We start from the raw sequence: 25,025 nt of genomic DNA, 5'->3' as shown, positions 1-25,025 counted from the left end.
CCCAGTTAACACGTGTAAACACACTCGCGCGCTCACATGCACACGCATGTGGCAACACAAAAATCACACACAACGGTGTGCGCGCATACACCCAGGGAGGACCGCACGCCGGACTCCCCGACACCCGGCTGGCCCGGGACTCGCCCAGAGCCCCGGACCCGGAGGGGCGCGGCCGTGTGCAGAGCTGGAGCGCCTGGCTGGTGCGCCCCTCGCCTGCGCACCCCTGCCTGTTTCGCTGCCCTAAGCGTGCAGGGCAGCGGCTGGGGCGCCCCTCGCTCTCCGCCCCCTCCGCTGAAAGGAGACGAACCACCCCCCACCCCACCACCACCATCACCAGGTTTTGCGGCCGCGCCTTCTCCTCCCCCGCCCGGCTCCCGCGGCTCACTCGCTCCCTCCTCCCTCGATCCCTCCTCCCTCCCTGGCTCGCTCCTAGTGCTCCCTCCCCGCGCCGCTGCAGAGCGCGGAGCCCGAGCGGGAGCCGGCGCGGGAGCCGGAGCGGGCGGCGGGCGACAGCGCAGGCGGCGGCGGCGGCGGTGGGTCCTGGTCCCGGCCCCGGAGGGCGCGGAGTCCCCACCCGCGCCGCTCCGGCCCCTCTCCCGACGCGGGGCGCCGAGCAGCATGCGCGGCCGCTGCCCGCCGGCCCCGGCCCCGCGGCGGAGCGCGCCCGGCCTCGACCCCGGCCCCAGCGGCAGAGGCGGCGGCGGCGGCTCCGGGCCGGCCCAGGGGGCAGAAGCAGGCTCGCGCAGCCCCTGTCCCGCGGCCTGAGCGCGCCCGCCCATCCGCCCGCCGGGGCCGCGGCCTCCCGCCTCCCCACTCCCGAGCCCCGGCCCCGGCTCCGGCTCGGCTCCCGCCCGCGCGGGGCGGACAGACGGACAGCCAGCCCCGCGAGGGCGCGCGGACTGCCGGGCGGAGGTGTCGGAGGAGGAGGAAACGGAGGAGGGGGCTGGGCAGGGGCTGGGGCCTGGTCGGGCCGGCTGGAGAGACATGCGATTGGTGACCGAGCCGAGCGGACCGAAGGCGCGCCCGAGATGCAGGTGAGCCAGGCGGCCGCGGCCGAGCCCCGAGCGGGCAGCCCCGCGGCGAGTGCCCCTGGGGGCCGCCATCGGCCCTGGCTGCGCCCTCCTGGGGTTGCAGGGCACCTCGGTGCCACCCAGACCTCCTTTGGGGTCATAGGCCTGATTTCCCCTCAAGCCTCAGAAATGAAAATTCTTCCTTTTCCACCTCCCCTCTCTCCAACCCCAACAAATTCCGGGTTTGTAAGCTGGGAGCCTGGAGCTGGGGAGGGGCCCCCACGGGTGTCCCAGACCTGCTCTGGTCTCCCCTTCCTGTCCCCCCTCCCATTCTGAGTATTGGTCACTCTAGAGGGTAAGCCCCCTGCTCAGCCCTGGGTGGGTACCTCCCTTCGTGGACCCCAGGTACCCCCAGGCAGCCCCCACCAGCACCAGACACTCCCTAGCTGGTGGACACAGGTCAGGGGCTGGGTTTCTCCACAAGCTCCAGCCTGGATGGCAGCTCCCCACCACACACAAGCATCGCCCCTTTCCAGCTCCTGCCCAGTGAAAAGGAGATGGGGAGTAGGGAGAGTGGAAGGAAGGGAGTTGGGGACCGGGAGCGCCCAGGAACGCTTTAGGGGCCTCCCCTTTGTCTGCGTTCAGCCCGGGCTTCTCACCTCCTCTTGCCCCACTTTTCATTCTAAGGCAGAGCGGGTGGGAGGTGGGAACCAGCTGAGAAGAGGGAGGTAAGGAGGGAGCCTCCTGCTCCCCCTCACACCCTTTTCGGGGTGGGCTGTGGGCTCTCTGCTCTCAAGGCATGCCAGGAGATGTGACCCTCCGGGCGGATCCCACTTTGAGAAGGAGGGGTGGGGCCAGGCCAGTGGGCAGCCCCTCCCGGTTCCTGCTGGGGTCGCAGCCCAGCCTGGTCCAGCCTGACTGTGCCTGCACCTCCTCTTTGTTCTCAGAGGCCTTGGGGTTGGGGTGGGGCAGAAGGGGGCCTGAGAGGATGGGAAGAGCTCTGCCCTGAGCGGGTGGGAGTGCAGGAGGCCCTGAGGTAGGGGCTGTGGCATCTGGACAGCCCCTTCCTGCTCGCCCAGCCCTCCCTCAGTCCTCTGCTTGGTTTGGGCAGCCAGAGGGCGCATAGCCCAGCCTGGCCCGCGGCTCTGGGCTCAACCCTGTTGGTCATTATGCCAGTGGCTTCAGCACTGGTGCCTCCCATGCCCAGGGAGCAATGAGCCGGGACACCCAGGCGGCAGAGAGCCTGGGGCTTCCCCAGATCCAGCGCAGAGTGTCAGTGAGGAGAAGAGGGCCAGCTGCTCCCAGACCCTTTGTCCTTGTATAAGCCAGGGAGGAGCTCAAAATCCTCACGCCTCTGGGAAGGCACTAGCAGCAGGTCTACTGGGATGGCATGCCTGTCCTTCCTGCTTTCTACCCGTGGCCCGAGGTGGGAGGGAGGGTATAGGGTGGCACCGGGGAGAGACCAATAACTCCTTGGAACCGTGCTGAAAGAGGGCACAGACTCACATCGGGGATCCCAGCAGCACCCAGCTGCCCCTCCTGGAAGGGGCTTAGCGAAGGCAGGGACAGGCACCCTGTGGTGTTCTTGTCTCTGCCCCCCTCCTCACCCCCTGACAATTTAAGTGTGAGCCCCTGGGTAGGGCTTAGTTAAAGCTGCAGTGTTCCCCAGGTTCTGGAGTTAAAGAGTGGGAACCAGCTTTTAGGGGGATGGGCATGTGCTCAAAGCCAAGGGCCCTGTGTGACTGGGAGGGAGGTGGAGAGACTTACCCCTTGCGATAGTCCTCTTTCATCTGGGCTCATCTTCATCCTCTGTCCTCTGGGCATCCATTTCTCCTATATTGGGTATTGTTTTCTAAAACCCAGACTCCCAGAGGGACACCTCCCCCACCCCAACCCCCCAAAAAACAACCTCTTGTGGAGGTGGGTGGTTGTTCTGCATGAGGCTAGACGGGATCCCTGGTGCCGGTGAGGGCTCATGTGTGGTGCTGCTCTTCAGGCGCCTTCAGCCGCAGATATCTGGAGAAGCACAATTGGGGTTGGGGCGTGTTCCTGTTGGGAGATAAGGCAGTGCAGTCATTCGTGCAGGGTCCCACGGAGGCATGAGGCAGCGTGTCCAGTGGAGGGTAGGGGAAGTGGAGCCAGGGAAGGGTGGGGGGCGGTGGGTAGTAGGTGTGGTGGTTTCAGAGTCAGGGCCTTAGCTTGCTGGCTGGAGTCTCTTGGGCTAGCTGTCCTGTGTGTGGCACTCTGTGGAAGTGGCCTTCCAGCCCCACCCACCTCCATGGTTAGTCTCTGGAGGCTTTCTGTTCTGTTTCCACCAGTTCCTCCACGTATCCCCCCATCCTCACCTGGCTTGGCCCCGCATCCCCTCACAAAAGGTCCTTTCCTCTCCTTCTCCTGACCCCCTCCTCCAAGAAGCCTCTCTGCCTGCTTCAAGTCATTGCCCCTCCTTCTCCAGTCACCCACAGCATAGAACCACACTTGTTTGCACTGAATATTGTACCAGCCCAGTCACGCATGCATTTGTTCTGCACATCCTAGCCAAGCTGCCTGCTCGGCTCTGGGCTAAGCATGATCTGCCTTGAACACCCTGAGCAATCCTAGTACCCTTCCTTTTGCCCTCCTGCCTGGCCCCTGGGATGGGACAGACCCTTGGAGGTACAAGGGAGTAGCTATTGGCTAGCGGCAAGGACTATCTGTGCATGAATGCACAGAGCTAGATGATGTCAAAGATGCCCCAGGCAGGGGTTGAGAAGAGACAGACAGGGTACTCAGTAGCCCACACAGGCACTCAGAGAAGGGTGAGATTTCTCCCTGGGGGTTGAGGTTGTCAGAGGTGCTTTAGGAAGAGAGGGAGACTGGCTGAGTCCTAGGGAAGCAGCAGACTGCAGAGACACAGAGAGCAGGGGACTCCAGAATCAGGGAAGGTTCTTTGTAGAAAGAGTGTGAGAAGGCAGGTTCATTTCCCAATACATTTAAGGCATTCTTGATGCTGACCTCTGTTTGGTTGTGGAAGAATGAATGAATGAATGAATGAACGAACAAGCGAACGAATGAATATCCCTGGGTGCTGTGGGCTCAGTAGAGCTGTGCTGACAACAATCTACTTGTGTGTGTTCAGTTTCTTCAATGTTATTTCATAGTGAAGTTGTTAAGAATGTGGACCCTGGAGCCAAAAGTCTGGGCTCAAGTCTCAGCTCCACCACTGCCTAGTTCTGTGACTTTGGGCAAGTTACTTAATCTCTCTGGGCCTGTTTCCTTATCTATAAAGTGAGAGTAACAATAGTATCCACCTCAAGGGAGGTCGTGACAATTAGGTGTGCTAACATATGCAAAACATTTAGAACACTGCCTGGTACACAGTAAGCCTGTAATAAGTGCTAGCTACTCATAGTTTACATCAGTGATATGCTCATGATCTTATCCTTGTAGGTGGTAGGTGCAGAGGTTTGATTTTATACCCAAGAAAACAGAGCCAGAGAGGTGGCGAGTGACTTGCTGTGAGTCCCCAGCTTGCAAGCCTGCGGTTCAGTCTAGAATGCCTTCTTCCTGACCTCTGGGCTGGGGCTCTTACTCACTAATCCAGGCCCAGCCTGTTAATTAATTAATCGAGGCATTTAGTATTAATCGTAGTAGCAGTAATAATACTATAATGAACACTGTTACCCTACTCTCCAACTTAAACACCAGCAATCCAGTAATGATGTACATCTCCCCATGTGCTCCTGCACACCCCGTCCCGTTGCCTCTTTTTCAATGACTACTCTAAATTATGTATTTCACAATCCCTTGCCTCTTTAAAATTATATATTTTAACATATATAAGTAGTTCAGTTTTAGTTATTTTTGAACTTTATAAAAAGAGCATGAACTGTGTGCAGTCCTCTGGAATTTGCCTTTTTTCTTTATCACATTTAAGCTTCATCTATATTGTTGTGAATAATAGTAGTTGTAGCTCATTTTCACTGATGTATAATGTTCTGTCATGTGATCCTAAAAGTGTAATTAACATTCTCCTACCAATGGACATTTAGGTTATTTCCATTTTTTGCTCTTACAAACAATGCTGCCAGGAACCTTCTCATCCCATCTCTGAGGCAACATGCAGTGTCTCTGGGGCACACAGCTAGGAGCAGAATTGCTGGCCTGTAGGGCATGTTCGCATTCACTCTTACTAGGATATTTGCCAAAGTGTTTTCCAAATTGGTTAGACCAGTTTGCATCACCCCAGCAGGAGATGAGTGTCCCCATTGCACCCCATCCTGATCAACACTCGGTATTGTCAGGGGCCTTGATTTTTACTGATTGAATGAATGTAAGATGGTATTTCATGATGGCCTTGATTTGCATTTCTGGAATTCAAGGTTTCTGGTATATGAAATGTGGGTTGAGATGGGCAGCAGCCAGTGTGTACTAGGTGCTCACTAAGCAGTCATCCCATCGGCACCCGTTCCCCCAGTTGTGGGGATGCTGTCTTTACCATCCCTGAAGTCTGGGATGGATATGAGCAATCAGGGAGGACTCCCCAAGCAAGTAGGATGAAGGAGGAGCAAGAAGGGCTTAAGTCCCTGCATGTTTAGTGCAAACAAAGGACAGCAAATTCCAGGAACCCCAGAGGCTTTGTGTTTACCCCAGGATGGGAAGGAGTGGTCCTAGCTTAAGAGGTGGAGGGAGCCTGTGTTTCATTATTTTAGCATCCCCTCCTCCTGCACAGCCCCCCTGTGCACCTGGCATGAAGCCTGGCATTGCTGAGCACTTAATAAGAGTTTGGTGACCCAGGGAATGAACCCCGGATGGAACAAATGTGTGCTTGCTCCTCCTCCATTCTCACTTGCTTGGGGAGTCCTCTCTGACTGCTCTTGCTCATGGATCGAATGAGGGGTGGCTGAGCAAGGTGACTCCGGGGCATTGCAGGGCCCCGACCCGCGAGGCCCTCCAGATCCTTGCCAGCCCAGAGGGTCTGAGAAGCTGGGTGCTGGCAGGCTAATTTGGAGCAGCTCCCTTTGCCAGCCTGGTACACCAACGATTGATTCCACGCTGCCTTTTCTGCCTGGGCCTGGGCCCCTGGAGCTGGTTAAAGACGAGCACCGGGGCTGGCGGAATAATTATGCCTATTTCATGTGACACCCAAATTGATTGCCGCCAGGGTGACATTACCAGGGCATTGTTCCTCGTCTCCAACCTCTTATTACATGTTATTAGGGTGTGTGGTGTGTGTGTTTTTCTATTTTTTCCCCTTTCAGGGAATTAATCTCTCTCTGCCACCTCCTCTACTTCCCTCTGCAGAGAACCTGCTCTCGCCTCTGGGAGGGGGTGGGGGCCTGGCCAGCACGCTTCTTCTGCCTAGCCCAGTGCAGGGCTGCGGATGGGGGGTTGGGGGGGCGGGGACTGGCCATCTCAAGTCCCTTTACTTGGATGCAACACGGGGGCATCTCAGAGCTGAGAGGGGCTACTGAGGTGTAGATCCCAGCAGAGGAGGCCTCCTGCAGTAGCCTTGATCCATGGTCTCAGCTTGCATGCCTCCCATGATGGGCTTCTTACTTACTACCGAGGCAGACCTTCTGTCCTGAGCCGTCTAATGTCTCATCGGATTCCTCACACTGAGCTGAATGGGCCTCCCTGTGAGCCCACCCATGGGTCTTGGCTCCCCTCTCTGGGCCTGCAGTAGACCTTTGCAGCCTCTGCCTTGATAAGCTCCTTAGAGATTTGCAGAGGTGCCAGTTCCTCCCCCAAGTCTGGGCTTCTTATGAACGGGCAGCCGGGTAGTGGCATCCATTGTGCCTGAACAGGACATTCCTCCTGTATGTGTCTGACTGGAGGCTCCATCACCTCCTGGATACTGGGCTCAGTTTACCAGGTTGGAAAAATGGACTCTGGCAGTGGCGTGGCCAAGATTGATTTGAGTAGAGAGGGCTTTGAACTGCCAGGGCTAGGAGAGAGGCAAGTGTTTTATTTATAATCTGCCTGTCCATGTTAAACAGAACTCACTGGACCTTGGTTTGTGATGTTTTAGAGGGTTATTTTTCAATCTTTTCCCCTTTTGAGGCAGAAATAACCCAAACTCTCTCACCTGTCCCTGACCCAGCCCCGCCATGGGGTGGCCATGTGACCCTTGTATGATGTTGGGGAGAGAAAGTGGCCGCGGTTGGGATGCTGGGGTCCTTCCTAGGCCCTAGCCCAGAGATTCTGTGGGACCTTGAACAAGTCCCTGATGCTCCTGGGCCTCAGTTTCCTCATCTGTGTGAGGGTCTCTAAGGGTGTTATGCCTTTGGAGCCAGACAAGCTCAGGACCTCAGGCAGGTGAACTAATGGCTCAGAGCCTCAGTTTCCTCATCAGTGAAGTGGGTGTGTAACGTGGTGAGGGTTGGTGGGGTTGTTCAGCAAAGCACTTAGTGTGTGTGCTCGATATAAATGTCCCTTCCCTTCCCTCTCCCTGAACTCTCCGCCCCCAGCAGTGAGGGCAGTGTGAAGTCTGCCGTCCCCACTTCCCAGGGAGGAATTTGTGGTCCCCAGAGGTAAAGCCACTTGCCCAAGATGACACAGCTCAGCAGGCCCCTGAACCTGAATCAGAGGGAGGCAGTATGCAGGAGTGGGCAGGACAGCTGGGAGTCTGACTGCCTCAGGCCCAGTCCCAGGTCTGCCACTCATCACTGCGGGACTTTAGGCAAGGTGCATCACCTCTTGGCGCCTCAGTTCTCTAATCAGTAAAATGGGGATAATACTAGCCTCTTAGGGTGGTTATGGAGATCAAACAGGTTCATGCCTGGCACATAGCCAATGCTATGTTAGTGTTAGCTTTTAAAAAAAAGAGGCACTATAGGGAAGTGATGAAGAGCATGGACTCTGGAGCCAAACCATTGGGGTTCAAATCATGCTAACACTGACCCCGAGCAAGTTATGGAACCTCTTTGTGCTTCTGCTTCTTCCATCTGCAAAATGGGGATAGTGGCAGCACTTACCTCAATGGGTTGGTGTGAGATTAAATGAATTTTTATATGCAAAGGGCTTGAAATAACGCCTGGCAACACCAAAGGCCACCTACGAGGGGTTTACCAATCATCATTCTCATCGTCATTCTATTTAGCTCTCTGGCTAATCCCAAATCCCAGGCTAGTTCCACCACACCCCTCAGCCTCTCACTACCAGCCTCAGTCTGTGAGGCTGTGGCACCCCCCACCCCAAGCACAAGGCCTATAGCTCTCCCAGGCGGGGGTTGGCTGGTTTCCAGGCCTGAGCTGTTCCCAAATAGAGAGGCCCTGACGGCTGGGGCTGCAGAGAGGGTTCCCCCTGGGGGCCCCAGGAAGGTGTGAGAGGACGAGTGGGGATGAGGCAAGCGTGTCCCAAGGGGCCACTGGCCTGGGCAGGGGATGGCGCTGGGGGCCTTGAGGGGCATCTTCCTGTCCCCGAGAGCCTGGGTTGGCATCTCAAGACATGAGAAGGGAGATACTGGGGTGCAGGACTGGGGTTGTCCTTGGGCCTCTCTCAGGTTACCCCCCCGAATAGGCACTTGCCTGCCCCACCTCAGCTCTGGGACAGCTCCCATCCAACTGGGGGTACTGGGCAACCTTGTGCAAGGGGCAGGAAGGGCCCAGAGTGGTCCAGGATTCCCCCGAGATCACACAGCAGGGTGGGGTGCACTGGCTGGAGCCCATTTTGCTCATCCAGAATGGGCCTCCTGTCAGCCCTGCCCGACTCTCACTCCTCTCCACCAAGCCTGCTGCTCCTGGAGGGCAGAGCCTATATATAGAAGCCTTTAAACACTAAGATGCTCTGACAATTAAAATTCATAATTTATCCTGCAAATGGCCAGGGGCTGCGAGCTGGCCGGAAGGCTGGCAGCTCTCGAGATGGCTGTGCCTTGGTGAGGTGGGCAGGGGCATTCCTCCCTTCAGTGCAGGGTGGCCGAGTGCGTGCCTAGGGTGACCCAGGACAAGCAGGCAGACAATCACACCATGCCCAGTCAGCATCCTCCAGCAGGCACTGAGGCCAGTGAGCACATGTGGGAGAGGATGGAGCTTCCCAAAGCGCACCTGAGTGATGGAGCTGGGGGCCGGGGAGTGGGGGAGGAGAGGCAACCAGCACACACACACAGAGGCCACTCACACACCATACACATACACACACACACACAGAGGCCACACATCACACACACACACACACACACACACACACAGAGGCCACTCACACACATCACACACACAGGCCACACACACAGACTACTCGCACTCCACACACACACATCACTCACAGACACACACAGAGGCCACACTCACACACCGCACTCACACACACACCACACTCACACAGTGACCACTCACACCACACACACAAAGGCCACTCACACACATCACACACACACACAGGCCACACACACAGAGACTGCTTACACACCACACATACACAGTCCACACACACACATCAGTCACACACAGAGACCACACACACATCACTCACACACAGACACACACACACACACACACACAGGCCACTCACACACACACACACAGACACCCCGGGGGCCCAACAACTTTTTGCCAGAACCGAGAGCAAGAGGAAGATAAAGAATTATACACAACAAAGGACATGACCTCAGTTTTCTTCCACGTTGGTTTTTCTGTCCCCATGGGGGTCTGAGGAGGAGGAGGGGAAAGGGGAGGCAGGTGGGGGCGGGGCGGACCAACCCCCGGGGAGACGGCGGACACTGGCTGCCTGGCCCCCAGCCGCGCAGTCCGCCAGGCTTTCTCCTGCAGGAGCTCAGCCTGGGCGCAGGACTGCAACTCTCAGGGTTGCCTCACCACCTCCCCATGGGCCAGGAGGCAGCCCCCCAAATTAGACTGGCCAGCAACGGAATTATTTCTCCCATTAGCAGCTCCTACCTTATGCCATTATCAGCCATTCACACCTCAGCGGGGATTAGCCCTGGAAAGCCAGAATGGAGCATCTTTAAAAGGAGTCCAGGGACTGGGGTCAGGATTTGGGCTAAGAGAGAAGCCATTAGGAGTCCCAGGATGCTCTCAAGTTGACCAGGCTACAAGTCCCTTCCCCCCTGCACACCTTTGCTCTCACTGTTCCCTTTGTGGAAATGCCCTCCCCCTGCCTCTTCCTTGGCCTGTGGAAAATGTTTGTATTTCAGCCTGAGCTCACACAGCACCTCCCCCTCACCACAAAGCCTCCTTCATTAAGAGCTAGGTTGGGAGTTGGAGAGCAGAGTGCGAGTCCTGCCCCTCGCAGCATTTGTCTGGTGGGCTCTCTCTGTTCCTTTGATGTGGGTGCGTCTGCAGGCAGGGCCTGGGAGTGTGGAGCTGTATCAGGCCCGGTCCCACTTCGGAGGCTGTCAGTCTGGGGGCCACAGGAGAGGAGGCCGCAGAAGTGCCAGCAGAGCTGGGAGAAGCCCAGAAGCAGTGTGGGCAGAGGGTGGCCGGAGATCCAGAGGGGACCCGCCAGAGGCCGTTGCTTCTTCTCAGGCTAGAGGAGAGCCACTGAGGGAGAAACCCTGAGCTGCTTCTGAAGGCCGAGTAGGAGGCCTCTAGGCATGGGAAACGGATGGTTGGCCGCTGCGACAGAAGGAAAAACCCGGGCTGGGGTGACCGTCACAGTCCTCTCTAGATGGGCCCCACTGCGCCCCCACTCCTGGCCACTTGACCCCAGTTATCTCTGAGCAGGCACAGTTCCCGCTAACACGCTTTATCGTTTCCTGAAACGGATCCCGCATACTGAAGCTGAAGCAAAGAAGGGACCTCAGGCAGGCAGGGACTTGGGGAGAGGACAAGTCACAAGGAGCCCAGGCTGGGCCTTGCTTCTTTTCCTTGGTGATCCGGCGTGAGTCCCCTCACCTTTCTGAGTCTCCCTCCCCAGCTAGATATGCAAGTGCTCAGACTCACCTGGTGGAGTGGCCGGGACGGGGCTGTGTTAACAGGCCCCAGGCTGATAGGCACAGGTGGTGGGGGCTGGGAACGTAGTTGTGCCTGCAGGACAAGTTCTGGCCTCTGTCTCTCCCTTCCCTGCCCCCAGCCTGTGTCCCCATCTTTCTCCCCTCCCCCCACTCTGCTTTCTCTGCCTCTCTCTTCCTCTCCTCTGCAGCCTCACCCACCACGTGTCTCCCGGGTGTCTCTGGGTTTCTCTCTCTTTCCCTCTCCTGCTCTCCCCATCATTTCTTGGCAGTGGATCTGGGCAGAGCCCTGGGCAGACTTTCCGAAGTGCTCTAGCCCCCTTCCCAGGCCTGCCATCCTCCCCGCTCCCTCTCTCCTGCTGCCCAATCAGTCACGGGCACGGCGGGCATCAAGGCAAGACGAGGACCGCGCACACCCACCTCGTTTCCCCGTGAGGAACTGCCCTGGCCACACAGCCAGGCTGAGCACCCAGAGGACCCTGGGCCCCAGCCTTCGTGGGGCAGACGCCTCCATGCCAGATCGCATGCCTGTGTGTGCAGGGGGTCCCCCTGGTCCCCGAGGAACGCTGAGTGGGAGCACCGTGAAATACTGATACCATAAACCTGGAATAACTAAACTTGCCATCCTGTGCTTCAGCCAGCCCCACATTAGGTGAGATTCAGGCCCAGGCAGCAGCCGCAGGCACAGGAAAGGAGTGTGGTGGAAAAACACTGAGTACACGTGGCTCGTGTAACACCCCGTTTTCTGGAAGTTGGGGAAAGGCTTTTGTCGGGTTTGGGGGCAGATGCCTGGGTGTAGCTCTCTGAGGACTAGGGCCTTCCCTCAGCCCTGGGGCCTCACCCTAGCACCACCCTGACAGGACAGCCCCTCCCCTGGCCTGGCCTGCAGAGTCTAAGCCCTGTGTCGCACCAGGCAGCTCTTGGAGCAGGCAGCCCAACTAGGAGACACAGAGCTCTGCCCCCCTCTGGCTTTGTGACCCAGGCCCAGGGCAAATTCTCTTTCAGAGCCTCTGTTTTTCTCATCTGTAAAATGGGTAAGAAAGATCTCTTTTGAAAGCATCTCTGAGACAATGGGTATAAAGCCCCAAACCTCAGCTGGGCACAGTGGCTCATGCCTGTGATCCCAGCACTTTGGGAGGCTGAGGTGGGTGGATCACGTGAGTTCAGGAGTTCAAGACCAGCCTGGCCAACATGGTGAAACCCTGTCTCTAGTAAAAATACAAACATTAGCCTGGTGTGGTGGTGGACACCTATAATCGCAGCTATCTGGGAGGCTGAGGCCAGAAAATCACTTGAACCTGGGAGGTGGAGGTCACAGTGAGCCAAGATCTCGCCACTGCACTCCAGCCTGGGCAACACAGTGAGACTCCATCTAAAAGAAAAAAAAAAGGCCCCAAACCTGGCCCATAGCAGGGACTGTCCAAGTGTTAGTCCCTTCCCTTTTCTAAAGAAGGTGTCTGGTGGATGAGCCTGTAGAGGATGCTGTGGGGGAGTCACGTCCCTGCCCCCCTGGACCTCCAGATGCTGCCTATGGCACAGAGTGACTCCTGAGCCCTCTCAGTGTTCTCTGAACCTGTCCATGGGTGATCCCAGGCCCCTTCCATCTCCCCTAACTACCGTCCTTCACCCTGAGACCCTGGGGGCACGCCCTGAATGTGATGCCCCAAGGAAGGGAGCCCACCATCCTGAGCCCCCCTCCCACAGAGAGATTCTTCCAGCCCCAGTGAAACTGCAGTTTTGGGTCTGAGCCTCCCATTCCCCTTTACCCTTTAGCAAGGTTTGAGGATGTCGACCTTCCAGCTGGAAAAAGGCTAGTTTCTGGTGGCAGCACCCTCAGGGACACTGAAGTGGAGCCCTTACTGTGCAGGCCAGAGAGGGCAGGCATTGCCGAGGTCACACAGCAGGCTGGCCACAGAGAACTGCGTGTGTCAGGGAGCATTGCCTGAACCAGGCCGTATCTGCCCCGGGACATGAAGGAGGGTGTGGCCGGTGGCCAGCAGCCTGTCCCTCCCACTGTGGGGGCAGCGCAGAGCCTAGGACCTGCCCTCTGCAGTGCTGGTCTGATGGCTCAGTGTCCCCCACTGCCTGAGCCTGGGAAGGACTCTGGATGCTTTAGGTTCTGTGTGTGGTGCCCCAGGCACAGCTCTCTGCTGCCTGCCCACCTGCCTGTCTTTGATGTTTTATTTCCTTAGTATTTATTGGTTCAATTTTTAAACTCTTACCCTTGTAGGAAGCCCTTCAGGGGGCAAGGATCCAAAATAAAACACTGATTAAAATGCATAAAATACCTTTTCTTGACAGTTGCAGGAGTAGCCAGCAGAATGAACAGTGCCAGGATGGCAGGAGCGGCACATTGCCCACTCAGCAGTTTGGGTGACCCCGCAGACGTGACTCTGCCAGCATCCCTAGATGACAGGGACCCCATGGGGGTGGGAGACCAGGAGACTAGGCCCAGCGGAGACTGTGCCCTTGCTGTGCCAGCTTGGGCAGGCATCCTAGCCTCTCTCAACCTTCAGCTTCCCCACCGTTAGGGCAGCCGCATGTAAGAGGCATGAGATGAGGCATCTCAGAGCCCGTACACTCCCAGAGCTGTCCTGCTCCCACGGAGCATGGCCCATGGCTCTGTGGGACCAACTGCCAGGCCTGGGGGTGGCAGCTGTACAGGGCAAGGCTGACCCAGCTTTTCTACCAATGTATTTCTTTTTTATTTTATTTTATTTTATTTTATTTTATTTTATTTTATTTATTTATTGTTTTTACAGATGGAGAGTCTTGCTCTGTTGCCCAGGCTGGAATGCAGTGGCACAATCACAGTTCACTGTAGCCTCAAACTCCTGGCCTCAAGGGATTCTCCCACTTCAATCTCCCTGAGTAGTTGGGACTATAGGTGCACCCCACCATGCCTGGCTAATTTTTAAATTTCTGTGGGAGATGGGCATCTCACTATGTTGCCCAGCCTTGTCTTGAGCTCCTGGCTTCAGGTGATCCTCCTGCCTCAACCTCCTGAGTAGCTGGGATTACAATGGGATAACAGTGGGATTGCAGCGCCACCATGCCCGGCTTCCAACATACTTCAATTCCTCAGGTCTCTCATTGCTCAGTGGGCCTGATATAGGGTTAGCCCCATCTGCAGGGCTTCCACCCCTGCAAAAACTCACTCATGCGCATGTTTCCTTTCAAAGAACATTCACGGGGGTCTGTTCTGTGTCACACTTCACTCTGAGCTACAGACATACTCTCTGCCCCTGGGTACCTCACTCTCTAGCAGGTGAGACACACACACCCATGACTGAACCAGGATTACATTACAGGAGAGATGCCAAATGCTGAGGCTTTGGAGCATATTTCCCTCTTTGCTCAAGGTCACTAGGAAGCTCTCACCTTTCGTCATTAGGCAGGACTTGGTGGCATTCTTTCCTGACTGGCTTCCCTTTTTTAGCTTTTATCTTCTTATCATCTTGTAGCATAATTTTTCTGTCAGTTGGTTCAAATCACTATGGGAATGAGGTGTGCTATATACCAGTTTCATAAAATCACTACTATAAGAATAACAGGCCGGGCGCGGTGGCTCACGCCTGTAATCCCAGCACTTTGGGAGGCCGAGGCGGGCGGATCACGAGGTCAGGAGATCGAGGCCATCCCGGCTAAAACGGTGAAACCCCGTCTCTACTAAAAAAAAAATACAAAAAAATTAGCCGGGCGTAGTGGCGGGCGCCTGTAGTCCCAGCTACTTGGGAGGCTGAGGCAGGAGAATGGCGTGAACCCGGGAGGCGGAGCTTGCAGTGAGCCGAGATCCCGCCACTGCACTCCAGCCTGGGCGACAGAGCGAGACTCCGTCTCAAAAAAAAAAAAAAAAAAAAAAAAAAAAAAAAAAAAAAAAAAAAAAAAAAAAAAAAAAAAAAAAAAAAAAAAAAAAAAAGAATAACAGTGTTGGGGACAAGAGGTGATATCTGACTGAGTAGGTCAAGGATGGCCTCCTGGAGGAGGTGGCCTTTGGGGTGGAAGGTTGCAAAGGCTGCTGGGGCAGGAGTCTGGGACAGTTCTCCAGAACAAGATGGCTTAGAGGTAGGAGTGTGCAGGACAAAGTGGGGAGGCCCAGGTGGCTTTGCTCAGGGACTGGTGGGAAAAGAGGTGGGTGGGCAGGTTGAGGCCCGGTGGTGCAAGCTTCCTGTGTGCCAGATTCGTGTCTGTATAAGAGGGGCTTACCAGCACCTCGGGGTGGCCCGTGTCCTCACTAGCCCCCCTCATTCCCCAGCCTTCTCTCCAGCAGCTCCCCCCACCCGCCAGCCTGGCCCTGAGCTGGATGCTAAAAGTCCTATTTACCTATTGAGGTCCCCAGCCTCACACCCGCGCCAGCCCCAGCTGCCGGCCCAATTACTTATTGATCGCCTGTCAGGATGTTTGCTTTTCTGGTGGGTCACTGGAGCGTGTGTGACTGTGGAAAATAGCCTGGTGGGGGTCGGGTGGGGAGAAGCTGAACTGCAGAAGAGCCTGGAGAGAGGATGAGAGGGGCTGAAGGGAGGGTCAGGGTGGACAAAGCCCTTGGGGATAACAGAACCCTTGCAGATTCCATAACATGTCAGTGCCCCCCTGAATCCTCTCTGCTTAATCAGTGACTTGGTCAATCAACAACCACGAAGCTCCCGTCAGTCCTGGGAGACTGGTGGAGCATTTGCAAGTGTGTGGTTTTGTGGGCAGACCAGAGCTCCTATCCCAGAATTGCTCCCTCTACTGGCTGGGTGACCTTGGACAGCCACAGCCTCTGTGAGCCTCAGTTGCCTTAATGGCTGATGCATGGATGACAAGGATGGATGGCCTGTGGCCATGAAAGCAGGGGCTGTGTGAGGTGTGGGAAGGGGTGGGAGAAGGGCCTGAGCTAGGGTGGAGAGGTGGGACATCCGGTCTGGGCTTCCCCCTCCTGCACTGAGCCCCTTCCGGGCCATGAGTACAGGGTGTGGACACAGCAGCAAAGCCCCAGGGGCACTGGAGGCTGCAGTAGAGGAGCAGGGATGGGTCTTTACCCCACCAGCAGCTAGATGACTGCAGCTTGGCTCCCAGAGGCCATCTGATCCACCCCTGGAGCAGCTCCTAGGGTCTGACCTACCCTCCCCCAACCCCCCTACTCACCCTATTTGCCAGGCCAGTTTCTCATGGGGGTGGATGGAGAGAGAAGAGGGAAGGAGGAGATGGGAGGCAGTTTGGGGCAGAAGTAGGGACCAGTGGTCTCTGAACAGGGGGTGGGAGAGGGTCACGGAGGCTCCCGCATACCCCTTGCTCACTCCACCTGCAGCCTATATGCAAGCTGGACCCCGCTCCTGGCACGGTTTCTCATGTCACCACCTCCCAAGCCCTGCATGGCTTCAGAGCTCAGCTTGAACAAGCCTCGGTGCTGTAGTTGGGGCACACTCCTCCAGGGTTGCCTGGCTATCCTGGCCTGTGGGAATCTGATGGTGCCTTCCTCAGACTAGCAGCTGTGCAGAACTCTGGTACTAGGAAGAAGGTGGTGGGAGCCCTGAGAGACAGACAGGTGACGGCTGGAGGGTCTTTTTAAGGGGAGCACACTTCACTTCTTATTGGGTAACAGAAAACACTTCTTAGAGCAGCGGACTTCAATTAGGCCTTGTGGATGGAATTTCAACAGCCAGGGAAGGGGCATTGCCAGAGGAAAGAACTGCAGGAGTCAAGACCAGGAGGCAGGAAAAGACATTCTCCGGGCCCTGGGCTCAGGAGCCTGAGCTGGGTCACCGATGGGACCCAGAGGAAGTGGAGAGTCACAGATCCCACCAGGAGTCCAGGCTGGATTTGGATTTGCAGGTGCAGGGGGAGGAGGGAGGGCAGCTTCAGGGCTGGGCCTTCTGGATGAGGGTGTCCCCCAGCAATCCAGGAACCCCATGGGTGACAGACCCGTGAACAGTGTCAGGTGCCATTGGTTTACTGCAGACCCAGCCACAGAGCTGATGGGGAGGGGGCATGGCGTCTGCACCGGGGGAGACTCAGGGCTCAGGGCTGAGCGAGTGGGGCCCCCAGCAGCCTCAGAAGCCCTGGCCGTGCAGGCTAGGGGTAGCCACACTCCTGGTTGCTCTGCTCCGGCTTCTTGGGGGCTGTTCCTAGAGGCCTCAGCCCTTGAGCCCCTTTGATCCCCACTGTGAGCCCAAGAGCGGCTCAGCAGGTCTGGTTTTATCCCTGATGAGCACCAGGGGAGCTGTGATTCAGGGCAGGGTGTGTGCTTGGAGTCAACCGCCTGTGAAATGTAAAGGAGGTGGCGCCAATGCCAGGCTGTCTGAGGTGACCCGCCCCTTCCCTGAGCCCCTCCATTCCAAGGATGCTGGGAGGGTCCTTTGGGAAGACTCCAGGCAGGGTAAGAGGCAAGGAGGGGGCAGCATGAGGAGGCCAGAGGCCCTCTGGCCTGGGCATCTGGACCCTGCCTCTCTATCTGCATCAGGGTCATCGTGACAGGGCAGGAGGGGCCCAGGTGGCTTGGGGTGGCATCCAGACACACACTGCCCCCTAACCGCCACCTCTGTCCTGTGCTTGCTCCCGGCTGCAGGTGAGCAAGAGGATGCTGGCGGGGGGCGTGAGGAGCATGCCCAGCCCCCTCCTGGCCTGCTGGCAGCCCATCCTCCTGCTGGTGCTGGGCTCAGTGCTGTCAGGCTCGGCCACGGGCTGCCCGCCCCGCTGCGAGTGCTCCGCCCAGGACCGCGCTGTGCTGTGCCACCGCAAGCGCTTTGTGGCAGTCCCCGAGGGCATCCCCACCGAGACGCGCCTGCTGGACCTAGGCAAGAACCGCATCAAAACGCTCAACCAGGACGAGTTCGCCAGCTTCCCGCACCTGGAGGAGCTGGAGCTCAACGAGAACATCGTGAGCGCCGTGGAGCCCGGCGCCTTCAACAACCTCTTCAACCTCCGGACGCTGGGTCTCCGCAGCAACCGCCTGAAGCTCATCCCGCTAGGCGTCTTCACTGGCCTCAGCAACCTGACCAAGCTGGACATCAGCGAGAACAAGATCGTTATCCTACTGGACTACATGTTTCAGGACCTGTACAACCTCAAGTCACTGGAGGTTGGCGACAATGACCTCGTCTACATCTCTCACCGCGCCTTCAGCGGCCTCAACAGCCTGGAGCAGCTGACGCTGGAGAAATGCAACCTGACCTCCATCCCCACCGAGGCGCTGTCCCACCTGCACGGCCTCATCGTCCTGAGGCTCCGGCACCTCAACATCAATGCCATCCGGGACTACTCCTTCAAGAGGCTGTACCGACTCAAGGTCTTGGAGATCTCCCACTGGCCCTACTTGGACACCATGACACCCAACTGCCTCTACGGCCTCAACCTGACGTCCCTGTCCATCACACACTGCAATCTGACCGCTGTGCCCTACCTGGCCGTCCGCCACCTAGTCTATCTCCGCTTCCTCAACCTCTCCTACAACCCCATCAGCACCATTGAGGGCTCCATGTTGCATGAGCTGCTCCGGCTGCAGGAGATCCAGCTGGTGGGCGGGCAGCTGGCCGTGGTGGAGCCCTATGCCTTCCGCGGCCTCAACTACCTGCGCGTGCTCAATGTCTCTGGCAACCAGCTGACCACACTGGAGGAATCAGTCTTCCACTCGGTGGGCAACCTGGAGACACTCATCCTGGACTCCAACCCGCTGGCCTGCGACTGTCGGCTCCTGTGGGTGTTCCGGCGCCGCTGGCGGCTCAACTTCAACCGGCAGCAGCCCACGTGCGCCACGCCCGAGTTTGTCCAGGGCAAGGAGTTCAAGGACTTCCCTGATGTGCTACTGCCCAACTACTTCACCTGCCGCCGCGCCCGCATCCGGGACCGCAAGGCCCAGCAGGTGTTTGTGGACGAGGGCCACACGGTGCAGTTTGTGTGCCGGGCCGATGGCGACCCGCCGCCCGCCATCCTCTGGCTCTCACCCCGAAAGCACCTGGTCTCAGCCAAGAGCAATGGGCGGCTCACAGTCTTCCCTGATGGCACGCTGGAGGTGCGCTACGCCCAGGTACAGGACAACGGCACGTACCTGTGCATCGCGGCCAACGCGGGCGGCAACGACTCCATGCCCGCCCACCTGCATGTGCGCAGCTACTCGCCCGACTGGCCCCATCAGCCCAACAAGACCTTCGCTTTCATCTCCAACCAGCCGGGCGAGGGAGAGGCCAACAGCACCCGCGCCACTGTGCCTTTCCCCTTCGACATCAAGACCCTCATCATCGCCACCACCATGGGCTTCATCTCTTTCCTGGGCGTCGTCCTCTTCTGCCTGGTGCTGCTGTTTCTCTGGAGCCGGGGCAAGGGCAACACAAAGCACAACATCGAGATCGAGTATGTGCCCCGAAAGTCGGACGCAGGCATCAGCTCCGCCGACGCGCCCCGCAAGTTCAACATGAAGATGATATGAGGCCGGGGCGGGGGGCAGGGACCCCCGGGCGGCCGGGCAGGGGAAGGGGCCTGGCCGCCACCTGCTCACTCTCCAGTCCTTCCCACCTCCTCCCTACCCTTCTACACACGTTCTCTTTCTCCCTCCCGCCTCCGTCCCCTGCTGCCCCCCGCCAGCCCTCACCACCTGCCCTCCTTCTACCAGGACCTCAGAAGCCCAGACCTGGGGACCCCACCTACACAGGGGCATTGACAGACTGGAGTTGAAAGCCGACGAACCGACACGCGGCAGAGTCAATAATTCAATAAAAAAGTTACGAACTTTCTCTGTAACTTGGGTTTCAATAATTATGGATTTTTATGAAAACTTGAAATAATAAAAAGAGAAAAAAACTATTTCCTATAGCTAGTCGGAATGCAAACTTTTGACGTCCTGATTGCTCCAGGGCCCTCTTCCAACTCAGTTTCTTGTTTTTCTCTTCCTCCTCCTCCTCTTCTTCCTCCTTTCTCTTCTCTTCCCCAGTGGGGAGGGATCACTCAGGAAAACAGGAAAGGAGGTTCCAGCCCCACCCACCTGCCCACCCCGCCCCAGGCACCATCAGGAGCAGGCTAGGGGGCAGGCCTGGGCCCAGCTCCGGGCTGGCTTTTTGCAGGGCGCAGGTGGAGGGGACAGGTCTGCCGATGGGGGTGGGAGCCTGTCTGCTGGGCTGCCAGGCGGCACCACTGCAAGGGGTGGGAGCCTGGCTTGGGTGTGGCTGAGACTCTGGACAGAGGCTGGGGTCCTCCTGGGGGACAGCACAGTCAGTGGAGAGAGCCAGGGGCTGGAGGTGGGGCCCACCCCAGCCTCTGGTCCCAGCTCTGCTGCTCACTTGCTGTGTGGCCTCAAGCAGGTCACTGGCCTCTCTGGGCCTCAGTCTCCACATCTGTACAAATGGGAACATTACCCCCTGCCCTGCCTACCTCACAGGGCTGTTGTGAGGAATTGATGAGATGATGTATGTGAAACACTTTGTAACCTGTAAAGCGCTGTGCACACGTGTGGGTGACTGTTCTCATTATGGTCATTATTATCTCACTGTGGGGGATGGGGCTGCCGAGGGGCCCTCCATGGGGGTAGGCCTGGGGGGGTGTCAGGGGGAGTGCTGCTCCAGGGACTTCCAGAGGCTCCTCCTAGGACAGCGGCTGGGGCTGTGGCTGGCAGCACTGGCTGGAGAAGGGGGCTGTAGACCTGAAGGGGATCCTGAGGCTACGGGCATAGAGAGTCCCTCACCTCTGGTCTGATGGTGGGTCTGACTGCCAGGCCTGATGGTAACAGCTCTACAGGGCTCAAGGCTTAGCTCCCCAGAAGCTGGAGGCCCCCTACAGCATTGGCCTAGACTGATGCAAGGATTGGGAGCATCAGCTCTCCCCAAGCCTTCTTTGCACAGCATTTATCAAGCACCTACTGTATGCCATTTCCCATGCAGAGTGCCCAGGCTGTGGGGACTGGGAGAAGCAGTTCTGGGGCTGCCCTTGAGGCTTCCCAGGCCCAGTCTGGTCCCATCTTCCACCAGGCCATGCTCTGAGCCTGTCCTGGGCTGTTAGGGCTTCTGTGTTTGGGGCTGGGATCCACCTGCACATGAGCAGACCCGGAGGCTCAGAAAACAGACCCCCCACCCGTTGCTTCCAGCCGTGCCCATTCAAACCAAATCCAGCAGCTCCAAACTTGACCCTGGAGAGGGATGCCCCTGACAACACAGTGTGAAGAGCCAGGCAGTCACCTTGTAAGTTTCCCATCGGCCATGGACCTTGACCCAAAAAGCTGGGCCAGTAGGTCAGCCAGCAGACCACCCCCAATCTCTGTCAGGAAGGAGGGGCTTCAGGGTCAGGGAGGCCTGGTTTCTCCCTTCCAGGTTCCCTCTTTCCTTGGGAACTCCTTGGGTCCAGCCCCATAGTGGACCCAGGGCGATCCTGTTGCTCATTCTTCCGGCTAGGGGAGAACCCCAGCGATGCTAGAATCAATGGGCACAGACCCAGCTGAACGTGGAGGGGGAGCAATAGGGAAGTCAGCCCTCACAGCAGGAGACTTCCGGGATGCAGCTCCTCCCACCAGGGTTCTTCCCAGGGCCCACGCCCCCACCCAAACTGGCACAGCTACATGCCTAGCACCTTCTAAACCAAGCCTCTGGTGGGATGGCGTGGTGGGCGGAGTCTTGTATGGAGTTGGCACTCGATCACTTATTCATTCATTCAATCTAAAGGCATCTCTGAGAGGCTGCTTGCCTCCTGGTTCCAGCTGAAGCAGTTGGTAGCCGTAGCTGGGCCAGCCTGCCCTCTCCCCCATCTCCCAACCACCACCTAAGGCTGTCCCTGGTTCTGGGGGAGGCTCAAGCCTTCTGAACTATCCCCTTTCTCAGGCTTTATCCCCTGAGAAGAAACAGGATCCTCTCCCCATAGGATCCTGAGTCCAGGACTATTGGTGTGCAACGGTTGAGGGTCCCTGTGGGCAGCCTAGACTTGTGATTATAAGGCTGTAAGGTTTGAGGTCAGGTCTGAGTTTGAGTTCCATTTCCAGCACTTACCAGCTGCTCGGCATTGTTACTTAACTCCTCTGAGCCCCAGACTTCTCGCCTGTAAAACAGACGATATTACTTGTTCTGGTCATCAGGAGGATGAAATGAAGGCACGTGGGTTGGCTTGTGGATTGGTGCAGTGCCTGCCATTCAGTCAGTCCTCTACAACTGGCAGTGGTGATGACCCCACTCTTACACAGATGCAGAGGGGGAGGGCCAGAGAGGGTGGCAGCTTATCCTAAATCGCACAGCTTCTAAGTGACCCATCTGGGGCCTGGTTCCAGACTCTCAGAGCCACAGACTTCTAAAACTGACTCAAGGCTTCTCAGAGCCACTTCTGGGCAGGAGAGCATTCAGAGGAGCACGAGGGACAGGGGGAGGGGTCCTTGGGTCTGTATACAACAGGAGACCAAGTGAGTCTTCAAAAACCCCACAAGCCTGCCCCTCCTCCCAGGAGAGACCAACACACGGGCCCCCTCCATCGTCCCAGCCCTGCCCCTCCTCCCAGGAGAGACCGGCGCACGGGCCCCCTCCATCGTCCCAGCCCTGCCCCTCCTCCCAGGAGAGACTGGTGCATGGGCCCCCTCCATCGTCCCAGCCCTGGAAGCCCAGTTGGCACCGTCCTCTGCAGGAGGCAGCTTATATGGGTTCTTACTAACCCCTCTGGGATGCCTCAAGGCTGGTAAGAGCAGGGAGGTCAAGGGGCCAATTTATTCCTGGCTACTGGGAGAGAACGGCCCCCTGAGGAAACTCAAGAACATGAGAAAATTACTAGGTTGTTTTCAGATGGGGGCAGGATCAGTTTGGGGGAATGTGAGTGCCCAGGACCCATGGACTGGGTTTGCCCAAGCAGAGAGGACTGGGGACTGGGCAGAGCCCAGGTGGGTTTTAGTCCAGGTGCAGCCCCTTCAGAGCTGTGTAACCTTCTTCTGTGGAAGAGGGTCGTGAACTCAACTGCTGCTAAAAGCACTGCTGGATTTAAAGGGCATCGTCTGGGAAGCCAGGCTGGAGAGGCTGCTTTCTTCATGCCTGGACAGCCTCTGAGACGGGGAAAGGAGGAGCAGATACTGCCTTGCCCTGGCACACACACAGCTGGAACCTGAGCCCAGAGGTGGTTTGAAGGGTCAGAGCCTTCCTGGGCCACCCACATTCCCCCAGAGCCCTGATGGCCCTGCTCTGCCTCAGACCCCATGGGGTGTTGGAGTCAGGATGCCCTGCTGCCTCAAACCCTATTGGGAGCCCGCTGCTCTGCTCACCTTTTAATCTGGGGCCAAGGGGATGAGGTTGGAAGAAGCTGTTGGGGAAAAGGCAAGATATTGAATCCTGAGAGTCCAGCCTGCTTTCCAGGAGACTGAAAGCAGCACAGCCTCCAGGCCTGCTCCTCTATGAGGCAGACATGCCGGAACCAGAAAGGATGCTGAGACTGGGAACCCACCATCGACATTCAAGTGGACCCACCCGAGGGTGGCACCAGGAAGATGAGTATTAGAGGGAGCAGTGAGCACCAGAACCCTTCCCTGGTTTACCCCTCACAAGTCAGAATACAAGGCTCAGAGAGGGAAGGTAACCTGCCTAGAGTCATACAGCAGAGTGGTAGATGGAACGTGAGCTTTGGAGTCAGGCTGACCTTGGTTCAAATCCCACCTCCACCATTGAGTCCCACATGCAGAATAGGGTTAACTCCTATGTTTACAGGGTGTCTGGGAAGATCGAAGACAGTGTTGTAAAGTACCCACCTACACAGGGTGTGGCACCTGTTGGGTACACTAATGACCACTGTTACTAGCATGACATCTTTATGGGCAAGCAAGGGAGTGGTAGCTGAACTCAAGAACTGGTAGGGTAAGGGACTGTGCGGGACACAACAGGGATGGCAAATGGGTTGGGGTAGAAACCAAACCTGGCCATACCCTCTGCTTTGCCACTGGAGGCCTCAGGGCTGTGTGGAGAGGATAGAAGCAGACTCCAGCTCATGAGCCCTGTTTGCCCAGGAGAGAGAGTGGCTGTGCCCTGGGGCCCTGGAGGACAAGGAGACAGGGGAATATGTCACAGAGAGCAAGGGAGAAGGGGTAAGAGGAGGAGTGTAGACCCCTGGCTGGTATCAGGAGCCCCTGGGGAAGTTCTGCCACCAGCTGGCCAAGGGCCCTTGAGTATTTTAGGGCCTGAAGTCAGGGTTCATGAGGTACAAGGAACAGGGAGCACAGCCCACTTGGAGCTAAGTGATTTATGGAACCCTCAGAGAACCTGCTTCCATATCACCTTTCCTGCTTCTTTCCCCAACTTGGTGCCCTCTGATGACATGACAGCCTGTACAGGACTGAAAGTCACCCACTCATCCCCGCCCCAGCTCCCATTCAAAAACCCCAAGCTCCAGCCTCCTTTGTAGTCTGGCTAAGGCCTTTGATTTCTTCATTCCTAGTCTCCAGAGAAAAAAAAAGGCTGAATGGTCACTCACCAGCCAATCGGTTGGCTGCCTTGAAGTCAGGTGCCCATCCCCTTGTCCAGTCAGCTGGGGCCAAGGAGCTCAACCTTGCACAAGCCAAGTTGGGGTGAAGATGGTGCAGAAGGCATGAAGGATTGGATCAGTTATCTATTTCTGCATAACGACCACGCCCACAACTTCGTGGTTTAAAACAACTGTTTATTTGTTCCTAGCTCTGGAACTTGGGCAGAGCTTGGTGAGAACAGCTCATCTCAGTTCTGTGTGGCATCGACTGGGGAGACTTCACTGCCGCTGAAGGTCCTAGATGGCTTCTGACCATGTCTGTTGCCTCAGCTGGGAGGCTGGAAGGACTGCAGGGCCGCTGGCTCCTCTCTTTCCACATGGTCTCTCTGAGTTTTAGACTTCTTTAAGGTAACTCAGCACTCCAAGATGACATAAATGGAAGCTCCCAGGTCTCTCAAGGCCGAGGCCAGGCAGACGCATAGCACCACATTGGCTGCATTCTATTGGCCAAGGCAGTCTCAGATCCCCCTAGATTCAACGAGAGGGAGGACAGAGCCCAGCTCTCACTAGGACAAGCTGCAGTCACACGCAAAAGGGCACTCAGGGTGTGAGAGTTGTCACGGCCACCTTTGGAAATCACCTTGGAAGTCCCTGGAAGTCACAGGGACCTCTGTGGTGCCTTATTCCTTTGAGGAACCACTCACAGGTGCACAGCCCTGTATGGTTTGCTCAGGAGTAGGGGGCTTAGA

General features: G+C 57.2%; 1 protein-coding gene and 1 long non-coding RNA gene across 16 annotated transcripts in view, besides 7 other annotated features; one reads left to right on the top strand and one right to left on the bottom strand.

Moving 5' to 3' along the window:
* LINGO1 (leucine rich repeat and Ig domain containing 1) overlaps window positions 1–20,317 on the top strand; it is a 207,874-nt gene extending 187,557 nt beyond the window's left edge. For 14 of the 15 annotated variants that reach the window (NM_001301186.2, NM_001301187.2, NM_001301189.2 and 11 more), the window contains one exon: window positions 17,444–20,317. In NM_001301186.2, coding sequence (NP_001288115.1) covers window positions 17,456–19,300 — 1,845 coding nt within the window. In that variant the 5' untranslated portion in view covers window positions 17,444–17,455 and the 3' untranslated portion in view covers window positions 19,301–20,317. Of the gene's footprint in view, window positions 1–431; window positions 1,035–17,443 lie in introns of those variants that run through there. The other variant, NM_032808.7, reaches the window with a different exon arrangement.
* The window catches only part of LOC105370906 (uncharacterized), a 61,603-nt gene continuing 39,460 nt past the window's right edge, over window positions 2,883–25,025 (bottom strand). The window contains exon 4 of the long non-coding RNA XR_001751806.2: window positions 2,883–3,059. This is a non-coding gene — a long non-coding RNA (uncharacterized LOC105370906). The remainder of the gene's footprint in view (window positions 3,060–25,025) is intronic.
* Window positions 3,008–3,573: an enhancer, noted in NCBI's record as "H3K4me1 hESC enhancer chr15:77922113-77922678 (GRCh37/hg19 assembly coordinates)". NCBI's record gives its function as "activates a minimal SCP1, AML or CMV promoter by ChIP-STARR-seq in primed H9 embryonic stem cells {active_cell/tissue: H9 hESC(primed)}" and the evidence as "EXISTENCE:reporter gene assay evidence [ECO:0000049][PMID:30033119]".
* Window positions 9,126–9,641: an enhancer, noted in NCBI's record as "NANOG-H3K27ac-H3K4me1 hESC enhancer chr15:77916045-77916560 (GRCh37/hg19 assembly coordinates)". NCBI's record gives its function as "activates a minimal SCP1, AML or CMV promoter by ChIP-STARR-seq in naive H9 embryonic stem cells {active_cell/tissue: H9 hESC(naive)}" and the evidence as "EXISTENCE:reporter gene assay evidence [ECO:0000049][PMID:30033119]".
* Window positions 10,674–11,189: an enhancer, noted in NCBI's record as "H3K27ac-H3K4me1 hESC enhancer chr15:77914497-77915012 (GRCh37/hg19 assembly coordinates)". NCBI's record gives its function as "activates a minimal SCP1, AML or CMV promoter by ChIP-STARR-seq in primed H9 embryonic stem cells {active_cell/tissue: H9 hESC(primed)}" and the evidence as "EXISTENCE:reporter gene assay evidence [ECO:0000049][PMID:30033119]".
* Window positions 11,190–11,705: an enhancer, noted in NCBI's record as "H3K27ac-H3K4me1 hESC enhancer chr15:77913981-77914496 (GRCh37/hg19 assembly coordinates)". NCBI's record gives its function as "activates a minimal SCP1, AML or CMV promoter by ChIP-STARR-seq in primed H9 embryonic stem cells {active_cell/tissue: H9 hESC(primed)}" and the evidence as "EXISTENCE:reporter gene assay evidence [ECO:0000049][PMID:30033119]".
* Window positions 16,463–17,289: an enhancer, noted in NCBI's record as "H3K27ac-H3K4me1 hESC enhancer chr15:77908397-77909223 (GRCh37/hg19 assembly coordinates)". NCBI's record gives its function as "activates a minimal SCP1, AML or CMV promoter by ChIP-STARR-seq in naive H9 embryonic stem cells {active_cell/tissue: H9 hESC(naive)}" and the evidence as "EXISTENCE:reporter gene assay evidence [ECO:0000049][PMID:30033119]".
* Window positions 18,516–19,015: an enhancer, noted in NCBI's record as "H3K4me1 hESC enhancer chr15:77906671-77907170 (GRCh37/hg19 assembly coordinates)". NCBI's record gives its function as "activates a minimal SCP1, AML or CMV promoter by ChIP-STARR-seq in naive and primed H9 embryonic stem cells {active_cell/tissue: H9 hESC(naive and primed)}" and the evidence as "EXISTENCE:reporter gene assay evidence [ECO:0000049][PMID:30033119]".
* Window positions 21,222–22,049: an enhancer, noted in NCBI's record as "H3K4me1 hESC enhancer chr15:77903637-77904464 (GRCh37/hg19 assembly coordinates)". NCBI's record gives its function as "activates a minimal SCP1, AML or CMV promoter by ChIP-STARR-seq in primed H9 embryonic stem cells {active_cell/tissue: H9 hESC(primed)}" and the evidence as "EXISTENCE:reporter gene assay evidence [ECO:0000049][PMID:30033119]".

Source organism: Homo sapiens, chromosome 15, assembly GCF_000001405.40.
Source record: "Homo sapiens chromosome 15, GRCh38.p14 Primary Assembly".
Lineage (NCBI taxonomy): Eukaryota > Metazoa > Chordata > Mammalia > Primates > Hominidae > Homo > Homo sapiens.
Note: the sequence above shows the minus strand (reverse complement) of the source record. Positions and strands in the feature narration are given on the sequence as shown.